The sequence below is a fragment of the Homo sapiens genome, chromosome 12 (assembly GCF_000001405.40).
Source record: "Homo sapiens chromosome 12, GRCh38.p14 Primary Assembly".
Classification (NCBI taxonomy): Eukaryota; Metazoa; Chordata; class Mammalia; order Primates; family Hominidae; genus Homo; species Homo sapiens.
Window position 1 is genome coordinate 28,183,891 of NC_000012.12, and position 20,774 is coordinate 28,204,664.

Here is a 20,774-nt window from a genome sequence, read left to right on the forward strand (position 1 = left end):
AGTAAGAAATTGGACTAATACAATATGTTAGGTTTACCTGGAATTCCTTCCTTATGGTCTAGCAACTAACAACAAATGTTAATAAATGCAAAAAGCAATAAATGTAAAAAGCAATGAAAAAGAAATGCAAAAAGCAATGAAAAAATAAATGCAAAAAGAAATGAAAAATGCAAAAAGCAATGAAAAAGAAAGGTCAAAATCACTGCAATAAAAACTCCCAATTAAAGAGGGGACACAGGCTGGGCACAGTGGCTCACTCCTGTAATCCCAGCACTTTGGGAGGCTGAGGTAGGCGGATCACCAGAGCTTGGGAGTTCGAGACCAGCCTGACCAATATGGAGACACACTGTCTCTACTAAAAATACAAAATTAGCTGGGTGTGGTGGCACATGCCTGTAATCCCAGCTACTCGGGAGGCTGGGGCAGGAGAATTGCTTAAATCGGGAGGTGGAGGTTGCGGTGAGCTGAGATGGCACCATTGCACTCCAGCCTGGGCAACAAAAGCGAAACTCTGTCTAAAAAAAAAAAGGGACACAGTGGTTTCTGATCCCTGTCATACTCTGTAGACAGGAATAATGAGGACTGTTGGCTGGCAGTGGTATGTGTTCTTTCAGCAGTTACTCTTTTGCTCTCTATGTCCTCCACTGCCCTATCTGAGATGGTCATTGGGGAAGATCCTCTTTTTGGGAGGTTGCATCATTTTGCTAGCTCATCTCCTATTAGGTTGAGTTTAGATATTTGAGGATACTCCTAACATTAAATAGTCACAGGCTATCATCAGTCAGCCTTGAGATTTATTTAACAATACATTTTCCCTTAAATATTAGGTTTTAGAACTATTTGCTTCTTGTTATTTCTGTAGGCAAGTAACCATGGCAAAGACCATGTCTAGCCCTAGTTTTTTTATCTTGGAATTTCTGTTTCCTAGTAATCCTTCATGTTCTGCTGGTCTAAATTTAGTTTAATAGCTTATCCCGATATCTTCACTGGGGATATTTAAAAAATGAACTTGCATGGTAGAGGGAAAGGCAATAACGTTTTATTCCTTATCTCCATAATGGGCATGGTATCTCTAGTAATCTTCGTAACGAACATGATTCTCCCTTTCGTTAAGCAGAACATTAAATTTTTCCACCTTTGGCATGCTATGATTACTGAAATTTTAGACATTCAGGTTTGAAATTTGAAGGGTGCTATTTCTAAGTGTGTAGGCTACAGGGTTTGCTAGCTTCTTATAACCTTGCTCACGTAAGGTAGGAGCCGTCTCTGAAATACATTACCCAATTTACATATGGTGAGCATCATTGATTCATTAATGGAGAGTCAATTTATAACTTCCATTACCTAAATTAACGAACCACAAATTTCACCCATTAAAACCTATTTTTAACATTAATTTTATTGATTAGCAAGGTCTCCAGTAATGGGAAATAATAATAAGCACTAATGGTGGCTACATTTGGAGTGCAGCTCTTCTGATTACCTATCAACCTGGAGTATAAATTCTATATGATGGCAACTGACAATCATTAGAGGGTAGGGTAAATCTGGAAACACACATGTACATTTATATCAAATTATATACACTAAAGTCTTTTAAGGTGAAGTATAATAATAACAAATTTAAACTGACTTAACTAATATTCAGTACCAGTGAGGGTAAGTAGAAAAATCAAGCTCTGTATTAATTTGACCTAAAAGCTGCCATAACAGAAGAAACCAGTAGATTAAAAGGAAGGAGGCAGAAAAGTGTTTATTTAAAACCTTCACAGTTTACTGTTTATGTCCTTCTTCTTATATACAAAGTTATAAATCTTTGCTTATTTGATCAGGGTTCCAGCTTTTTTATTTTCTTGGTTACAAGATGACTGCCCTCAGTAACAAGAACCACATGCTTTCTCATTTATCAAGGGAGAGAAAGGAGCCACAGCCCACAATTTTGGGGCTAAAGTCCTGTAATTGGTGCCAATTTGCTCAACCCTGAACAACATCTTGTGGCCAGGGGAACAACGTAGGTTGGGATTGGGTTATCTTAACTGGACTAACTTTGGAGATAAAGGTGAGGTTAATTTCACCTCAATTTCTTAGGTGTACTATGCACAATGTGGGAAGAGTGGAATAAATGTTGGGATTGCAACTACAGTGTCCATGATAATCACTTTCAAAGCATATATATATGTAACAACTATATTGTTAGTTGCAGTTAAACTAGATCTAAGAATATGTAATTGTGTCTGACATAATTTTTTATGTTTGATTCTTAACAAGTTTTAAGTCCGGCTCCTCACCTGTTCCCTTTTGTATGATATCTGAATCTAGGCAACTTGATGAGAAAGCTTGCCTAGATCCAAATATGGTGCAAAATAGGTATTTCCTATTTTGGTGCTGGTGGAAAATTTGAGCCATACAGTCCCTGCCCTGTGTGGGCTTTTTCACCCAAGCGCCATGTCCTAGCCATGAAAAAAATCCCAATAGCTTTTTCTCCTACTCTCTCAAGTCATTTTAAAACCTGCTTAGGAGGTCTGCTGTACTCTTCCTAGAAAGGCTCATTATGTGAGTAATAAACCTTTTTATACCCTGTTGGTGCATATGTGGTATGCTAAGTCTTGAAATAGGAGCCAAAGTTTGGGTGAGGGTTCATCTCATTTCTGTGGGTGACTGCAACAGCACATAAACTTCAATGGCAGTTTAAATTCCTGCAACCTATCTGCTGTGGTCTGAATGTTTTTGTCCCCCCACAATTCATATGTTAAACTTAATCACCAATGAGATAGCGTTAGGAGGTGGGGCCTTTGGGAGGTGATTAAATCATGAGGACACAAGCCTCATGACTAGGATTACTGCCCTTATAAAAGAGGCTCCAGAGAGCCGCCCTGTCTCTTCCACCACATGAGGACACAGCTAGAAGGCACAATCTATGACCCAGAAAGCAGGGCCCCACTAGACATCCAATCTGCTGGTGTCTTAATCTTGAACTTCTTAGACTCCAGACCTGTGAGAAATAAATTTGCATTCATAAGCTACCCAGTATTTTTCTATAGCAGCCTGAACAAACTAAGATACCATCATTGTAGTGTTTCATTATTCTTATCACCAAGTGCCCAATCTTCCTCTTGATGACTACAGCCAGAAACCTGGAATATATCTTCAATTCTTTCTTCTTCTTCTTACTCCTCCTTTTTTTTTTTTTTTTGAAAGGGTCTTGCTCTGTCATCCAGCTGGAATGCAGTGGCACAATCACAGCTCACTGCAGCCTCCACCTCCCAGGCTCCAGTGATCCTCCTACCTCAGCCTCCCACATTGCTGGGGTTACACGTATAAGCCACCGTGACTGGCTTCTTTCCTCCTTTTTTGTTGGCCATGTGCCTTTAAAATCCTTTCTGCCAATTTCATGGGTACCATCTCGGCTCAGGCAGTCATTAATTCCTCATTTTAGTTATTTTATGTCTTCTATCTGGTTTGTTTGTTTTTCTAGTCTTGGCCCCGTCTCTCCTACCCAATAATCCTTCCTCTATACTGCTGCTGAAGTAATTCTTCTCCAACCTTGCTTAACTAATTCAGCAATTTCCCATTACCTTCAGGATACAGTTCAAACTCCTTAACACAGTTTACAAAACTCTTCATCATCTTACATCTACATTTCCCATTTCTCCTGCTGCATACCTGCATACCACAATGTTTGCTTCTATGGTATGCTTACCTGCAAAATATACTTACCTCCACAGTTCATAGACAAGGAAATATATACAAAGGTATATGTTCCTTTTTCTGGAGCATACTCATGTCTTTCCTTAGCTTGGTCAATTCCAATAGATTCTTCAGGACTAATCCTGAGCTTTGATACATTCTATGAGAAGTACTTCCTGTTTAACCTAGGCTGAGTGAGGTGTTCTTTCTCCACCTTTTAGCAATAACCTTTATTTCAGTGTTTATTATCACTGTAATATCTGATTTGATTGTATATTTTTCTAGATGTGATTCTCTTAAGGGCAGGCACCATGTTTTTCATCTCAGAAGGTCACAAACTATTAGGAAAATGGGCTTGCAGATACATGTACAACAAAGAATAATAATTGAAGATGGCTCATGGAAAAAGTATTCTGAAAAGTAAGAGAGGCACATGTTCTAGAGAGACAAGAAAAGGCACAATAGAGAAATTAGAGCCCTCATACATTGCTGGTGAGAAAGTAAAATGGTACAGCCACTTTGGAAAACAGTGTGGTAGTTCCACAAGGGGTTAAACATAGAGTTACCATATGACCCCGCAATTCCACTCTTAGGTATATATCCAAGAGAAATGAGAACATATGTTGACACGAAAACTTGTACATGAATGTCAACAGGAGCATTATTCATAATATTCAAAAAGCTGAAACAACCCAACCGATGAAGGGACTTTGAAAACATGTTAAGTGAAAGAAGCCAGTCACAAAAGACCACACATTGCATGATTCCATTTATATGAAATGTTCAAGATAGACAAATGCATACAGACGGAAAGTGGATTACTGGTTGCCTAGGGCTGGGGAGAGGAGGGAGAAGTTGGGGCCAAAGGGTATGGGGTTTCTTTTTGGGGCTGTGAAAATACTCTAAAATCGAATGTGGTAAAGCATGCATAACTCTGTGAATATACTAAAATCACTGAATTGTTTATAAAGAAAAAGATTACTGTGGGGAAGGAAGAAAGATTTCATGGAGTTGGTAGGATTTGAATTCACTGATAAATAAGTGATATAAAAAGCAAAGTGATGTGCTATAGTGAATAAACAAGCCCTTCTGTTGGGCAGATCTGGCTTTAAATCCACTTGGTCAATTTACACTTCCTAAATCTGTAACCTCATCTAAAGTGTAAATATATTAATATACCTACTTTGTAAAATTATTGTGGTAAGTTATATATGGGATTTAAAATATTTAATCTAATGCCAGGCACATAGCAAATATTAATAATAAATATTAGTTACTTATTATAAATCTGTTTAGTATGGAATACAGTTTAGTATTGAATATCGGGACAGAGTGAACATGTAAGTACATCAATGGGAAGGAACTCCCAGAAACTAATCTGGTTTCCAGCAGAAAGAGATATGAGAGACAAAATAATATAAAGGTAACCTTACTAAGTTTAAGAAATATTTATGAATACCTTTTTTCTAACTACTAGACACTTTGCTAGACTGCTGGATACACAAAGACAAATGAGAAGTGAGTAGATTGCTGGATATACAAGTGAGAAGTGGTCCTTGACTTGGTAGTCTAGTAGACAGATAAAAAAATATGTGTAAGAAAGCATTACATTTCTTACAATAGAAATGTTTTTTGTATGCATAAAGAAGGGGGTGGGCTGGAAAAAGAATGTAGTCAAGGTGACTTGCTCAATACTGAAACTGCTCATTAACTACTTAGGCCAGCACTTATGGCAGACTTGTCAGGATGCCTTGCTAATATTTTCCACTTCCAGTACAGAACAGAGATTACAGGTTTAAGCCAATTTTGTTCAACAGATGAGAAACCCAGTGTCCAAGGATGAAAGAATACTTGTTATACAAGGAATGTGAATATTCCAGAGATTTATGCTCAAAGTCCCCAGGTTAGTGTCTTTCTTTCTCACTAGACTGTAAGCTTCTTGAAGACAAATATCTTGAGTGTTACCTTGCTCACTCTTGAATTGTCAAAACTTGGCCCAGGACTAGGTATGTGGTATACAATCAATAAAAATTTGTTGAATGAATGTTCTTCAAAATCCTTCCATGGCAAAAACAGAAGAAACATTCACGAGTGGACTGCTAGTTGACTGTTTCTCTCATCGCTATTGACAGTCTGAAATGGACAAAGACATCTATATAATCATTCCTTCCTTTCAAATAAATAATCTGTGAATTACGCTATTCTTTTCCTATTGCTTCAGGACAAGCTATTTGACAGAAAGCTTTTAAGAAAGGCTTTGCAAGAAAACTCTGCAACAGAGATGGCACGTATGAATTGCTGTGATCTGGAGTTGAAGACAAGAACAAAAGTAACTCTAGAGCAGAATTCTTTGACCAAAGTCATCTTACTGGTTGGCGGAGGCTCTCAGTCTACTTGCATCCGGTGCTTGAGAGTTCAGACAGGCAAAGATGAGAGGTAGCATCTAGTCAACATCCATTTCTTGAGCACTTACTACATGTCAGCCACTTTGCTTAGTCCCCGGTTTTACTGTGCTCTGCTAGGAAGTGGTGAAGAGATTCGGCGGGATCTTCTTAGGACCAATCCTACAAAGTTCCAGATGGAACTCATTTTGATTTGGGGGACGGTTTACTTGCAGGGATTAGGTGGAGAAACAGGGCCTGCTACTCAAGAGGAATGAGAAACTGTAACTAACAGGAGGTAGACTGGGAAGGAGCATGGCAAAGTCACCCCTTTTCACAGGGCAACGCTCCAAAGACCACGCTCAAGCTGGGGTGGCAGGGCTCTGAACATGGGGCCCCGACCCGGGCCTCGGCCTGGGGCCACGTGACGCGCGTGTTTACGTTGAGTGACGGGCGCTGTGTTGGGCGGGCCTTGGCGGAAATCAACTTCCGGGGGCAGAGGTGTTCGAAGCCGGGTGGTGCGTGGGCTACCCCAACCTGTGTGGCTGGGCCGCGGTCTCCCCTCAAGGGCCTGGGGCCGTGCCTCGGGTGTACGCGTAGGGGTCTGTGTGCTGGGGGTGGCTCACCGGGCAGCGTGGGTGAGCGGCGCAGCGGCGGCAGCGGAGAGCGAGAGAGGGGAGCAGGTAAGTGAACGCTCGCCTTCCGGGGCCTGGGTCTTGGGGTCGGGGCCGCGCGAGGCGAGCGGAGAGCGCCCCACCGGGGGAGGAGCGCGGACGAGCTTCCGCCGCCTGCAGCCCGCCTGCTGCGGCCTCGCCCTTGGCTGTCGCAGCGACCAGGAGTCAGGGGGCGTGACCAACCTCCTGCGGGAACGGAGCCAGCTCCCGGGGGTGGGAGTGCCCACTCGTTCCTGCGCTCGCCGGTGGGTACCGGTATCTGCACGTCCCAGAATCGAGTGTTTTCGAAAGTCTACGCCCACGAACACGTGATTATTGTGTCACCGAAGCGCCTACCGAACGGAGACCTTGATTCTTGCTTAGATTACACAGAACGCGCCTGGTTTATGTATCCCCTTTTACTTTGCCAAGTACATTGGGGTAAAAGCTCTACAGCGTCTGCCAGCCACATTTCCTTAGAGTTTCTTGGGCCACATGTTGCAATAAAAGTGGCATTTCAGGGTCAAGGCAGGAGCCAGTAACTTTGCCAAGTGGTGAGGTATCCTTCGTCCCCGTTAGCACGCCTCCCTTTCCCAACAATAAAGATATTTTCTCCATCTGCGCGTGTCGCCTACTGCGGAGGAAAGCTTTGGACATGAAACCTATTTTTGGCTTCACTTTAAGGAGTGGAACTCTATTAAAAGCTGCGCTGGTGTTTTTTTGGTAGGATGATGTTGCTGCTGCTACTCTCACTTGCTTCCTTGATGAGAGTTGGGGCAGAGCTCGATTTCCTGGAGGGTAAAGTCTTGGCCACAATTTTAGGTGACTCAGCGGCCCCTTATGAATTCTGACTCTTTCCTTCCCTCCCCTCTCAGCTGTGCGGATACTGATGCCACCTTTCTCTCCAAATATTAATCCGGGTGGGAGTTGGATGATGGTTTTTGGAAGCAGTTTGCATGTTGCGTGGTGGAGTTATTGGAGTGGGCTGACATTTTACTTCACAATTTAAGGCAACCCTTCCCCCCCCCACAATATTTAGTTGGGTGGGGTGACAGGGACTGACAACAAATTCGCTGTTGTGTTCCCTGCTGTCGGAGAGTTCTACACTTAATGATCACCTGATTGCCCTCTGCTACAATTTCTATTGCGTTGAGGGGATTGGTTATACTGTCTGTACCTATTAGGTAAATGTAGTAAGGGTCATGCCAGGCAGAGTGCACCTGCATGGTGTTGGCTAACCAGTAAACTGTGTGGTAGAGAATTGCCCTGGTTACGAAGTTTGGTATCCTCCAGGCTGCCTAGGAGGGTGTTCTGTGGGCTGGGAAATCTTATGAACTGGTTTCCTAGCAACAGTATAAGCCCAATGGAATAAACATAAAGAAAACAAAGTGATGAAAGTTACAACTTACCTCTTAACTTTTATTAAATGGAAAAATGTAGCTTCTTATTGGAGTGATCCACTCAAAACTTCTGAGACATTTTTGTTTATTTTGATCATCTTAGTACTTAATAACACACAAAAGAAACTGCAGAAAATCATTCCAGAGGGACATCACTTTGGTTTTGGGTGGCATTAAAATAGAGAAAAAAGACGTTTAAAAATGAGCTTGTCTGGAGCTTAAATGGACAAACAGGAATTTGGTGTAATAGGCATTTTATGTTGTACTCTTATCTATATGTGTCAGATGTATGCATTACATATGATTGTTATGAATGAAGATAGTAGAAGACGGAGTGGGAGTGGAGTAGAGTGGATGGGTGGATAAGACTGGTTCCATTAAGTAAAATGGAAGGGGAATGTTTTAGATAAGTTGTTCCCAAACTGTAGGTCATAATTACAGCACTCCTTTGTCAACCTGTTCCTTGTGATTTTTAATCTTCCTTGAAAGTTTATCAAATTTTCTTATTTTCTGTCCAAACAATGAGAACTTAATTGAAAAAGGCATCTCTCTTTGGATTAACTCTTGGTGTTTATGTATATCTGTTTCTTATTTACTAACGATAAATTAATATTTTAGATTTCCAGTATTTTAAGGATTTTTGGTCTCCTTACTGTTCCTCCCTGCCCTATTCCCATACCCAGTAAGTTTGGTTTAGCTCATTTAAACTGATGCATATTTTTAAAAAGGGCATATGTTGCTTTTTTTAAAAAAAATCAAGTTTTATTGAGGTATGATTTATAAGTAAAAAAGTAATTTTTATTATATTGCTGTATAAAGTCTGACAAATGCATATAATGGAACCACTGCCACAATCCAGACAAATAATATTCCCATCATTCTAAAGTTTCCTCCCCTCACTCATAGGTCCTAGCAACCACTGATCTGTTCTCTGTCCCTGTCTATAGCTTTGTCTTTTCTGGTATGTTATGTAAATGGAATCATACAGTATGTAGCCTTATGTTTCAGGTTTCTTTCACTTAATGCTTTGATTCATCCATGTTGATGCATGTTTGTTGATGCTTGGTTGTTTTTTACAGCTGAGTAGTATTTCATTGTGTGAATATATCATAGTATGTTTATTCGCCATTTGATGAACAATTTTTGGCATTTAGGAATGAAGGTACTGTAAACATTCATGTGCTGTTCTTTGTACATTAAGGTGCAAGTCTTTGTGTAGACATATGTTTTCATTTCTTTTGGTTACACATCTAGGAATGGAATTCTTGGGCCGTGTGCAAGTGCATGTTTAACCTTAAAAGAAATTACCAGCTGGGCGCAGTGGCTCAGACTTGTAATCCCAGCACTTTGGGAGGCCGAGGTGGGCAGCTCACGAGGTCAGGAGATTGAGACCATCCTGGTCAACATGGTGAAACTCCGTCTCTACTAAAAATACAAAAATTAGCTGGGCGTGGTTGCGGGTGCCTGTAATCCCAGCTACTCAGGAGGCTGAGGCAGGAGAACTGCTTGAACCAGGGAGTCGGAGGTTACAGTGAGCTAAGATCGTGCCACTGCACTCCAGACTGGTGACAGAGTGAAACTCCGTCTCAAAAACAAAAAAAAAAAAAAGAAGGAAATTACCAAACTGTTTTCCAAGGTAGCTGTTTCATTTTGCATTCCCGCAAGTGATGTTTGATGTTCCAGTTGCTCCACATTCTGGTCAGCACTTGTCATTTTATTTTTAATGTTAGCTATTCTAATATGCGTTTAGTGAAAACCCATTTATGTTTTAATTTGAATTTTTCTTCTAACATATTGAGCGTCTTTTCCTGTGCTATTATTTGCCATCTGTGTATCTTCTTTGATTAAGTGTCTGCTGAAATCGTTTGTTCGTTTTTAATAGGGTTGTTTGTTATTGGTTTGCAAGTGTTTTATACAGTCTGGATACAAATTCATTATCGTATATATGTTCACAGCATTTCCTTCGAGTCTGAGTCTGTAGTTTGTCCTTTCATTTTCTTAACAGTATCTTTCAAAGAGCAGAAGTTTTAAATTTTGGTGAAGTCCAGTTTATCAGTTTTTTCTCTTATGATTTGTGCTTTTTTATCATGAGAAATTTTGCCTAATCCAACGTTGCAAAGATTTTTTTTCTTATGTTTTCTTCCAGAACTTTTATAGCTTTAAATTTTAGATTTAGGTCTGTGACCAATTTCGAGTTAATTTTTGCATATAGTGTGAGGTAGGGGTCAAGACTCTCTCTCTCTCTTTCTCTCTCTGTGTGTGTGTGTATGGATGCCCCAGTCTTGCAGCACCATCTCTTGAAAAAGACTATTCTTACTGTGTCCAGAATTGGTTCCTTCCAGTGGGTTCTTGGTCTTGCTGACCTCAAGAATGAAGGCACGGACCCTCGCAGTGAGTGTTACAGTTCTTGAAGATGGTGTGTCCGGAGTTTGTTCCTCCAGAAGTTCAGATGTGTCTGGAGTTTCTTCCTTCTGGTGGGTCCATGGTCTTGCCGACTTCAGGAGCAAAGCCACAGACCTTTGCAGTGAGTGATACAGCTCTTAAAGGTGGCGCATCCGAAATTGTTCATTCCTCCTGGTGGGTTTGTGGCCTTGCTGGCTTCAGGAGTGAAGCTGCATCCGAAATTGTTCATTCCTCCTGGTGGGTTTGTGGCCTTGCTGGCTTCAGGAGTGAAGCTGCAGACCTTTGCGGTGAGTGTTACAGCTCATAGAGGTGGCGTGTCCTGAGTTGTTTGTTCCTCCCAGTGGGTTTGTGGTCTCGCTGGCCTCAGGAGTGAAGCTGTAGACCTTTGTGGTGGGTGTTGCAGCTCATTGTTATAGCTCGTAAAGGTGGCGTGTCCGGAGTTGTTCGTTCTTCCTGGTGGGTTCGTGGTCTCGCTGGCTTCAGGAGTGAAGCTGCATACCTTCACTGTGAGTGTTACAGCTCATAAAGATAGTGCGGACCCAAAGAGTGAGCAGCAGCAAGATTTATTGCGAACAGTGAAAGAACAAAGCTTCCACAGCATGGAAGGGGACCCGAAGGGGTTGCTGCTGCTGGCTCGGGTGGCCTGCTTTTATTCCCTTATTTGGCCCCACTCACATCCTGCAGATTGGTCCATTTACAGAGAGCTGATTGGTCCATTTTACAGAGTGCTGATTGGTCCGTTTTACAGAGTGCTGATTGGTCCGTTTTGCCAGAGTGTTGATTGGTGCATTTACAAACCTTTAGCTAGACACAGAGCGCTGATTGGTGCATTTACAATCCTTTAGCTACACAGAAAAGTTCTCCAAGTCCCCTACCCGATTAGCTAGACACAGAGTGCTGATTGGTGCGTTTACAAACTGTTAGCTAGACACAGACTCTGATTGGTGCATTTACAATCCTTTAGCTAGATAGAAAAGTTCTCCAAGTCCCCACCTGACCCGGAAGTCCAGCCGGCTTCACCTCTCATTACTATCTTTTCTTCATTAAATTTCTTTGGCTTGCCTTGTTAAAAATCAGTTGAGTATGTTTGTGTGGTTTGCTTTGTGGACTCTATTTTGTTCCATTGTTCTGTGCGTCTGTTTGGCTAAAACCTCAGTCCTTATTATGGTAGCGTTATAGTGTATCTTGAAGTCAAAAAGCCTGAGTCCTCCAACTTTGTTGTTGTTTGCCAAAAATTTTTGAGTATTCGAGTTCTTTTTCTTTCCATGTACATTTTAGAATCTCTTTATTTCTATATAAAAGCATTGTGGAATTTTTAGTATGATTGCATTGAAGTTATGGATCCATTTGGGGAGAATTGACATCTTAAAAATGTTGTTTTCTAATCCATTAATAAAATACCTTTCCTGTCCCACTGCTATGGCTCATGCTTGTAATCCCAGCACTTTGGGAGGTCAAGGTGGGAGGATCGCTTGAGCCCAGGAGTTCAAGAGCAGCTTGGACAACATGGCAAAACCGCATCTCTACAAAAATGAGAAAAATTAGCTGGGTGTGTTGCCATGCACCTGTAGTCCCTGATACTTGGAAGGCTGAGGTGGGAGGATTGATTGAGCCTGGGAGGTAGAGGCTGCAGTGAGTTGTGATCATGCCACTGCACTCTAGCCTCTGCAACAGAGAGAGCCTCTTTCAAGAGAGAAAACAAAATGAAACAACCTTTCTACGTTTATTTGGTCTTTGATTTCTCTCTGTTTTTAAGCTTTCCGCATAAAAATGTTGCGCATATTTTGTTATGTTTGTATCTAAATGTTTTATGTTGTTTGGTTCTGTTGTAAACAGTAACCTTTAAAAATTTTTAAATTTCCAATTACTTATGTAAGTGAATCAGTATTTTAATATTGATCTTGAATTTTTGAATTTTACAACCTTGTTAAACTCACGAGTTCGTTCTAGTAGCTTTTGTAGCTACTGCTGTCTGCTGGTAGAGACAGCTTTATTTCACATTTTCTCATTTGTTTGCCTTTTATTTTGTTTTCTTGTCTCTTTGCACTGGCTAGGACCTTTGCTAATGTTAACTAGAACAAGTCAGATCAGCACAGATATCCTTGCATTGCTCTTCATCTTAGTAGAGAAGGTATACAGTCTTTTACCATTGAGTAGTTAGCTGTAAGTTTTTTGTGGATATCATTTTGACCCAGCCAAGGAAGTTCTCTTTAACTCCTGCTTAGAGCTTTAAAATTTAATCACAAGTGAATGTTATATTGCTTTTTTTGATTGTGAACATGATAGTTGATTACAGTAGAAAGTTGGAAATAAAGGAAGACTATAAAAAAAGTTACCCTATTTTCAGTAATCTGAGGTAACTGCTGCAAACATTGTGGTGGCTTTTCTTTCAGTCTTTTCTTTTGCAAATATATTTTAAAAACAAAATTGTTAATATTGTTTTATATTTTGCCCTTTTCACTCAGAATCACATTGGGAGTACTTGCATCATGAATTATTTTGAAAACTTGATTTGTAATGGTTATGGGTTATTGTGTTATATGGATATGCCCATCATTTAATGATTTTCTTATTGTTAAATAGTAAAATTGTATTTCAGTTTTCCCTGTTGAAATTAACATTAAATATTTGTGCTTAACTCTGATAATTTTTCAAAGTAATTTATAAAAATATGATTATCACTCAAAGTATATACATTTTTTTTTCAGGTTCTTATATCCACTGCCTCTGTTTGGTGCTCTTGAAATTTGTTCTTTAGGCTATTTATTGTAAGAAATTTGGGGTCAGTATCATTGGCTTTTTGGGCATCACCTTAAGGTAGAATCTTTGAATTTCAGAAACAGAGTTCCTTAGAAATCGGTCTAGTTCAAACCGTTTTTTAAGCGGTTTAGAGTCTGTAATCATTAAATAACTTTTCTGCCTATACTATTTTGTTTCCACTGATCTATACAGAATTACTGATGAATTACGTATAATGTAATATACCACCTGTGCTCTTCTTTTGATAAGAATTATAGAAATCTTTGTGCCTAGCTTCATGTAAAACCCTTTATGTATGTTGTTTTATTGAATTCCAACTGCTACTTTTTGGTAGTAACATTTTTTTCCATTTCATAGACAAAGGAAACTGTCTCCAAGTGAGCAAACTTACCTAAGGTTGTATTAATAGTAAGTGGTAGAGCTTGAGTTTGTTCACAAGTCTTCCTGAATCTGTGCTTTTATTTGTAGGCTATACTATGAGTATTATGTTATTTTAGGTATTTTGTATATATTATGTTTATTTTGAATATATTAATTTTAATGCTAACAATAAATTTACTAAGCAGATTAGCAAATTAGCATGAGATGTTATCAGTACTTCTGAAATGTTTGTCCAAATTTATATCCTCTTAAGTCTATTCTTATTTTCTAAGTGGCGTAAAGATTATTGTTGGCTATATGCCATACAATTTTACTTAAATAATTAGGATCATATTTACTGTGACTAGTAGAGGATACAACAATTTATTTATTTTGAAATGTGAAGAATTTTGTAATTATAGGTTTAATAAATGGAGATAAAAAATAATGTTAATTACTTTATAAAATGAGCTCTGTTATAATTCTGGTAAAACAATTTGTTTTCCTTAGAAGGATATGTACATTTTGGTATTTACATTTCAACATGGACTATGTGAATGAAATAATTAGTTTGTGAAGTATGAAATCACTTTTTCCTTGTATTCAGAGAAGGTTGGCTTTTCTGTGTCTACCACCTCCTATGTTTTTTATTATATTCAGCCCTGTGGTTAAAGAGTAGGTCTACATAGTCATTTTAAAAAGCTGCTTACATTTTATATTATGAGAATTCAGAACTTCTGCAATTGTAGTAAAGACAGTGCTGCAGTGTTATGCAAGATCCATTAATCTATGAATATGCTTCACTGACAGATGGGCTTATATGAATATTATTTAAAAACTACATGCTTAGACATCAGTAAAAGATAGTGATTAAAGATGAGATTAAGTATCATTTTAATTACGAATTTTATACAGACAACTTAAAATTAGGTTAGACCTTTTGCTTAGTTTGCCAAAATTGGGCATGAAAAACAAAATAAGCCTGTGAAAGCTGAATGACATTAAATGGGCCACCCTGAATCAGAAGACAAGTGGCAATGAATACCTATTTTCCATTTTGCTGAATGAGAAGAATGTTTAATAAATGGTGATAGTTTTCATGAGATATTTAGATATTTTAAGTTTTATCTCTTGTTGGTTATGCAGAAGAGATTTATTTCTCTTTTTATTCAGTCTAGCAATTTCTGACTTATGAGTGGAGTGTTGAATCCATTTACAATTAATGTATTTACTAATGCTTAAGGTAGTATTTATGTCTGTCATTTTGCTATTTTTTCTGTATATCAAGTAATTTTTTTCATTCCTTAATTACTACATTATTGCTTTCTCTGCCTTTTTTTGTATTAAGTATATATTTTCTAATGTACCATTTTAATTTCCTTGATGTTTCTCTTTTTTTTTTTTTAAGAGACAGAATCGCCTAAGCTGAAGTGTAGTGGCGCCATCATAGCTCACTGCAGCCTCCAGCTCCTTGGCTCAAGTGATTCTCCTGCCTGAGCCTCCCTAGTAGCTAGGACTACAGGTGTGTGCCACGATGCTTGGATAATTTTTTTATTTTTTGTAGAGACAGGTTCTTACTCTGTTGCCTGAGCTGGTCTTGAACTCCTGGCCGCAAGTGATCCTCTTACCTTGGCCTTCCAAGTGCTGGGAATACAGTTGTGAGCCACTGCACCCGGCCTTGACGTTTCTTTTACTAAATATTTTTTGAGTTCTCAGTGGTTGCCCTGGGACTTACAAATAGTACCTTATTTTATAACAATCTATATTAATTAATACTAACTAAGTTTAAGTTTACAAATTTTGTTCCTATATATTCCCTCCCCTTCCTTCATGCTATTATTGTGTAAGTTACATCTTTCTACATTAATACAGTATCCATTAACACTGATTTATAATTCTTGATTTATGCAGCTGTCTTTTCAATCACATAGGAGAAAAGAGCCACAACCAAACATACATTTATATTTTCTTTTATATTTACCTATGTAGTTATCTTTACCAGTGTTCTTAATTTCTTTATGTAGATTCAAGTATACTGTCTCTTGTCCTTTCAGTTCAGCCTGAGAGACCCAGGTTAGTATTTCTCATAGATAAGATGTGCTAGCATACATTCTCTTTGGTTTTGTTTATCTGAGAAAGTCATAATTTCTTCATATTCAAAGAATAGTTTTGCTAGAATTAGAATTCTTAGTTGGCAGTCTTTTTCTTTTAGGAATTTGAATGTATCTTTCCACTGCCTCTGGCCTCCGTGGTTTTTAGTGAGAAATCAGATAGGAAATCTTTTTGACGATTCCCTATTTTTGATGAGTTGCTTCTCTCTTGTTGCTTTCAGTATTCTCTCTTTATGTTTCGAAAGTTTGGTTATGATGTGTTACAGTGTGGATCTCTTGAATTTTATCCTACTTTGAGTTTATTGAGCTTCTTAGATGTATAGATTAATGCTTTTCATCAAATTAGAGAAGTTTCCTTGTATCGTTTCTTCAAATATTCTTTCTGTTCCTTCCTTTTTCTCCTCTTTTTCTGGTTCTCTCATTATGCATATGTTGGTATGCTTGATGGTTTCCTATAGGTCTTTGATGCTCTGTTTATTTTTCTTCATTCTTTTTTCATTCTGTTCCTTAGCCTGGATAATCTCAATTGACCTATCTTCAAGTTCACTGATTTTTGTGCCAGCTCAAATGTGCAGTTGAACTCTTCTAGTGAATTTTTTTTTTTTTTTGAGTGGTAGCTTTTCTATGTTTCTTTTTATTTATTTATTTATTTATTTTTATTGATTATTCTTGGGTGTTTCTCGCAGAGGGGGATTTGGCAGGGTCATAGGACAATAGTGGAGGGAAGGTCAGCAGATAAACAAGTGAACAAAGGTCTCTGGTTTTCCTAGGCAGAGGACCCTGCGGCCTTCCGCAGTGTTTGTGTCCCTGGGTACTTGAGATTAGGGAGTGGTGATGACTCTTAACGAGCATGCTGCCTTCAAGCATCTGTTTAACAAAGCACATCTTGCACCGCCCTTAATCCATTTAACCCTGAGTGGACACAGCACATGATTCAGAGAGCACAGGGTTGGGGGTAAGGTCACAGATCAACAGGATAAGAATTTTTCTTAGTACAGAACAAAATGAAAAGTCTCCCATGTCTACCTCTTTCTACACAGACACAGCAACCATCCGATTTCTCAATCTTTTCCCCACCTTTCCCCCCTTTCTATTCCACAAAACCGCCATTGTCATCATGGCCTGTTCTCAATGAGCTGTTGGGTACACCTCCCAGACGGGGTGGTGGCCGGGCAGAGGGGCTCCTCACTTCCCAGTAGGGGCGGCTGGGCAGAGGCGCCCCTCACCTCCCAGACAGGGCGGCTGGCCGGGCGGGGGGCTGACCCCGCCACCTCCCTTCCGGACGGGGCGGCTGGCCGGGCAGGGGGCTGACCCCCCAACCTCCCTCCCGGACGGGGCGGCTGGCCGGGCGGGGGGCTGACCCCCCCACCTCCCTCCCGGATGGGGCGGCTGGCCGGGCAGAGGGGCTCCTCACTTCCCAGTAGAGGCGGCAGGGCAGAGGCGCCCCTCACCTCCCGGACGGGGCGGCTGGCCGGGCGGGGGGCTGACCCCCACCTCCCTCCCGGACGAGGTGGCTGCTGGGCGGAGACGCTCCTCACTTCCCAGACGGGGTGACTGCTGGGCGGAGGGGCTCCTCACTTCTCAGACGGGGCGGCTGCAGGGCGGAGGGGCTCCTCACTTCTCAGACGGGCGGTTGCCAGGCGGAGGGTCTCCTCACTTCTCAGACGGGGCGGCCGGGCAGAGACGCTCCTCACCTCCCAGACGGGGTCGCGGCCAGGTAGAGGAGCTCCTCACATCCCAGGCGGGGCAGCGGGGCAGAGGCTCTCCCCACATCTCAGACGATGGGCGGCCAGGCAGAGACGCTCCTCACTTCCTAGATGGGATGGCGACTGGGAAGAGGCGCTCGTCACTTCCTAGATGGGATGGCGGCCGGGCAGAGACGCTCCTCACTTTCCAGACTGGGCAGCCAGGCAGAGGGGCTCCTCACGTCCCAGGCGATGGGCGGCCAGGCAGAGACGCTCCTCACTTCCCAGACGGGGTGGCGGCCGGGCAGAGGCTGCAATCTGGGCACTTTGGGAGGCCAAGGCAGGCGGCTGGGAGGTGGAGGTTGTAGCGAGCCGAGATCATGCCACTGCACTCCAGCCTGGGCATCATTGAGCACTGAGTGAACCAGACTCCGTCTGCAATCCCGGCACCCCAGGAGGCCGAGGCTGGCGGATCACTCGCGGCTAGGAGCTGGAGACCAGCCCGGCCAACACAGCGAAACCCCGTCTCCACCAAAAAAATACAAAAACCAGTGAGGCGTGGCGTCGCGTGCCTGCAATAGCAGGCACTGGGCAGGCTGAGGCAGGAGAATCAGGCAGGGAGGTTGCAGTGAGCCGAGATGGCAGCAGTACAGTCCAGCTTCGGCTCGGCATCGGGAGAGGGAGAGGGAGAGGGAGAGGGTTTTCTATGTTTCTTCTCTAGTGAATTTTTGAATTAAATTATTATACTTTTTAATTCCACAATGTTTGTTTCTTTATTTTGTAATCTCTATCTCTTCATTAATAATCTCTATTTGGTGAGATATTGTTATCATACTTCATATATGGTTTTCTTTAGCTCTTTGAAACTGTATCTAAGAAAATATTTAGAGAAAACGTTTTAGTGTCTTTGTCTCATAAGTCCAATGTCTGGGCTTCCTTAGGGACAATTAACTGCCTTTTTTCTCTCCATGTATAGATCATCCTTTCTTGTCTCTTGCATGTCTCACAATTTTTTGTTGAAAATTAGATAATTAAATAATATCTAATGTGGTAACTCTGGAAATCAGATTCTCCTTCTCAGGGTTTCTTCTTGTTGCTGCTCTTGTTATTTGTTTGCATAGTGACTTTCCTGAACTCTTTATGTAAACTTTGTATTCTTTTATGTGTGGCCACCAAAGTCTCTGCATGGTTAGTACTGGACAGCGAATGATTGGACAGTTATTTCCCTAATGCTTGGAAGCAATGAGTCTCCCAGCCTTTGCTGGTGGTCTCTGTGTGCATGATGGGGCATGCCTTCAATGCTTAGACAGGCAGTTTATAACTCTACTTTAGCTTTTAGTTCCCACTTGTACAGAGCTTAAAGTGTAGCAAGAAGTCAAAGCTTAGGTCACCTTTTCAATTCTTTACTGAGTACTTGCATGAGCTTGGCCATCTGGAGTTCAAGGAATATGTTGGATCTTATCAAAATCCCCTATTGACATTTCATTACCTAGCTTTTCCTTTTAAGATTCTGGTCAGCTTGTTGTTTGCCCCAACTGTTACTGCCACCTCAGGCAAGCTGATGTTAAACAGTTGGCTCTGTTTGTTTTTGACAAATGCTATCTGGGGAAAAGGTTATTGGCACTGGACAAGCTCTTAGGTCAAATAAAGACAAGTAAAGGAGTGGTGTTTTCCAGGGAACTGCCAGACAGGTCAATAATGACAATTTCTGGGAATGGGGTTTTGGAGGAGGTCCAACCCTATTTTGCCCCTCCTGGTGGCTGCTAGGCTGCTGGATTTTATTGTGATTTTTGAGCCTTCTAGTTTTCAAGGCTCTCATGGTACTGGGGATAGAGGGATGAGATTAAAATGCCATAAAACTTGCTTTTCTTAATGAAAATCAGCCATTTTTCTGTAATATGTTCTTCCTAGATTGATGCAAGCCTTTGATTAATTTCTAGAGTTCTGAAAAAAGTTGACTTTGACAATTTTTGCCACTGTTGTTCTTGCTTTATGGAGGAAAGGATTTTTGGAGTTCCTTAACTCCACTATTCCTGCTGATGTCACTGTGTAGTATTTTAATAGCCCAAGTTCTTCTTAATGTCACCTTATCCCAATTATACTTATATTCCACCACTTTGCTTCATGTTTATCATCTGTGGTATACAGCTGCATATAAGAGATCATTTAGGGATTATTCTAATTCAGATATGTAAAAATTTCCCATATGTAGCAAACCATTTAACAATATTAGGCATCTGCTTAGTGCTGTGAAAATTCTGCAGGATGAAAATTACAATCTGTTCCTAAATTTAGGGAGGTGTCTGCAGTATAGTTAGGAATTTATACATGTAGAAAAAGTTGAATTGTTGATTATATGAGTGAAAGAGATCTGATAAGGTAGAACGTAAGCTACTTTTATTAATAATAAGTAGTATGGTGCAGACATAGAACATTATTAGCCATTATGTAATTTTGTTCTTAAATAATTTGAGTCAGTTTTGAATAGAGGAAATCTTCAGTTTAGGCTTGTGAATTATGGCTAAAAATTCAATTGAATTGCCAAAATGATTATACTGAATATTATTAAACACTGTGTGCTATGCCTGAACATATTACTTGGAGAAATTAGATTTTCTGGTTAATGGAATTTCCTAGTTAAAAAAAACAACCAGAAGCCCAGTTTTTCCTTGATTTTGTGAAAATGTCTAGACATGTATTTGTGGGTTTTGATGCCTTAATTATTGAAGGTAAATGATCTCTCCCTCTGTCCCTTTTTAAAGCATTTAACTGAATGCTTATCAAGCTATGGTACCTGGCAGTCATAATTGAGAATATTATTTTCCAGTGCTGTAGAAGAGAGTCACATGATTGGTGCCCTCAAAAAATTGGTAAGAACATGGGGTTAAAATGTAGCTGTATTGCATCTTCGGGTTCTTACGATATGAATATATGTGAGTTTTTGTGTTTTATTTAATTTATATCACTTTTCTGCATGAGGAAGACATTAATGGTTTGCAGATGTTGTAAATGATTACTAGAGATGCTTTTTCATGCTCATATTAGCCAGTCCCTGATATGCATTTATTTTGATTATTAATTTTCTGATTAAAAATAAAATGATGCATACTGGCATTTTTTGGGGAAGTAATGCTATGATATATTTCATCATTCAGAATGCAAAATTAGCAATTCCTAGTGTAAGCAATTTCAAATTTTCACACTCATCATGAATTTAAGGATGCAAAGGACCTGCTTTATATTCCTGCATTTTTTTGTGAGGGAAAGTCATGTTAGGTATTTCTAAGATGTATTTTTCTCTTCTCTTTACTCTCCTTATTACATTTGAATCATG

General features: G+C 40.3%; 1 protein-coding gene and 1 long non-coding RNA gene across 35 annotated transcripts in view, besides 4 other annotated features; one reads left to right on the forward strand and one right to left on the reverse strand.

Annotated features, from left to right (window-relative positions):
* Positions 1-1,734: 1,734 nt before the first annotated feature.
* On the reverse strand, positions 1,735-6,848 carry LOC729291 (uncharacterized). The gene has a single exon (NR_148936.1). It is a non-coding gene; the product is annotated as an uncharacterized LOC729291 (long non-coding RNA).
* Positions 6,533-6,582: a silencer, noted in NCBI's record as "silent region_4315". NCBI's record gives its function as "represses an Ori minimal core promoter by ATAC-STARR-seq in GM12878 lymphoblastoid cells {active_cell/tissue: GM12878}" and the evidence as "EXISTENCE:reporter gene assay evidence [ECO:0000049][PMID:35858748]".
* The window catches only part of CCDC91 (coiled-coil domain containing 91), a 359,711-nt gene continuing 345,502 nt past the window's right edge, over positions 6,566-20,774 (forward strand). For 28 of the 34 annotated variants that reach the window (XM_047429083.1, XM_047429090.1, XM_047429081.1 and 25 more), the window contains exon 1: positions 6,566-6,751. The gene's annotated coding sequence lies outside the window, so the exon portion shown is untranslated. Of the gene's footprint in view, positions 6,752-15,052; positions 15,167-20,774 lie in introns of those variants that run through there. The other 6 variants (XM_047429087.1, XM_047429095.1, XM_024449034.2 and 3 more) reach the window with 2 other exon arrangements.
* Positions 6,613-7,042: a silencer, noted in NCBI's record as "silent region_4316". NCBI's record gives its function as "represses an Ori minimal core promoter by ATAC-STARR-seq in GM12878 lymphoblastoid cells {active_cell/tissue: GM12878}" and the evidence as "EXISTENCE:reporter gene assay evidence [ECO:0000049][PMID:35858748]".
* Positions 7,726-8,020: a silencer, noted in NCBI's record as "tiled region #4473; HepG2 Repressive non-DNase unmatched - State 2:TssF, and K562 Repressive DNase matched - State 5:Enh". NCBI's record gives its function as "represses a minimal TATA promoter and a strong SV40 promoter by Sharpr-MPRA in HepG2 and K562 cells {active_cell/tissue: HepG2 | K562}" and the evidence as "EXISTENCE:reporter gene assay evidence [ECO:0000049][PMID:27701403]".
* Positions 18,512-18,712: a silencer, noted in NCBI's record as "peak1636 fragment used in MPRA reporter construct". NCBI's record gives its function as "represses an SCP1 promoter by STARR-seq MPRAs in K562 erythroleukemia cells {active_cell/tissue: K562}" and the evidence as "EXISTENCE:reporter gene assay evidence [ECO:0000049][PMID:32103011]".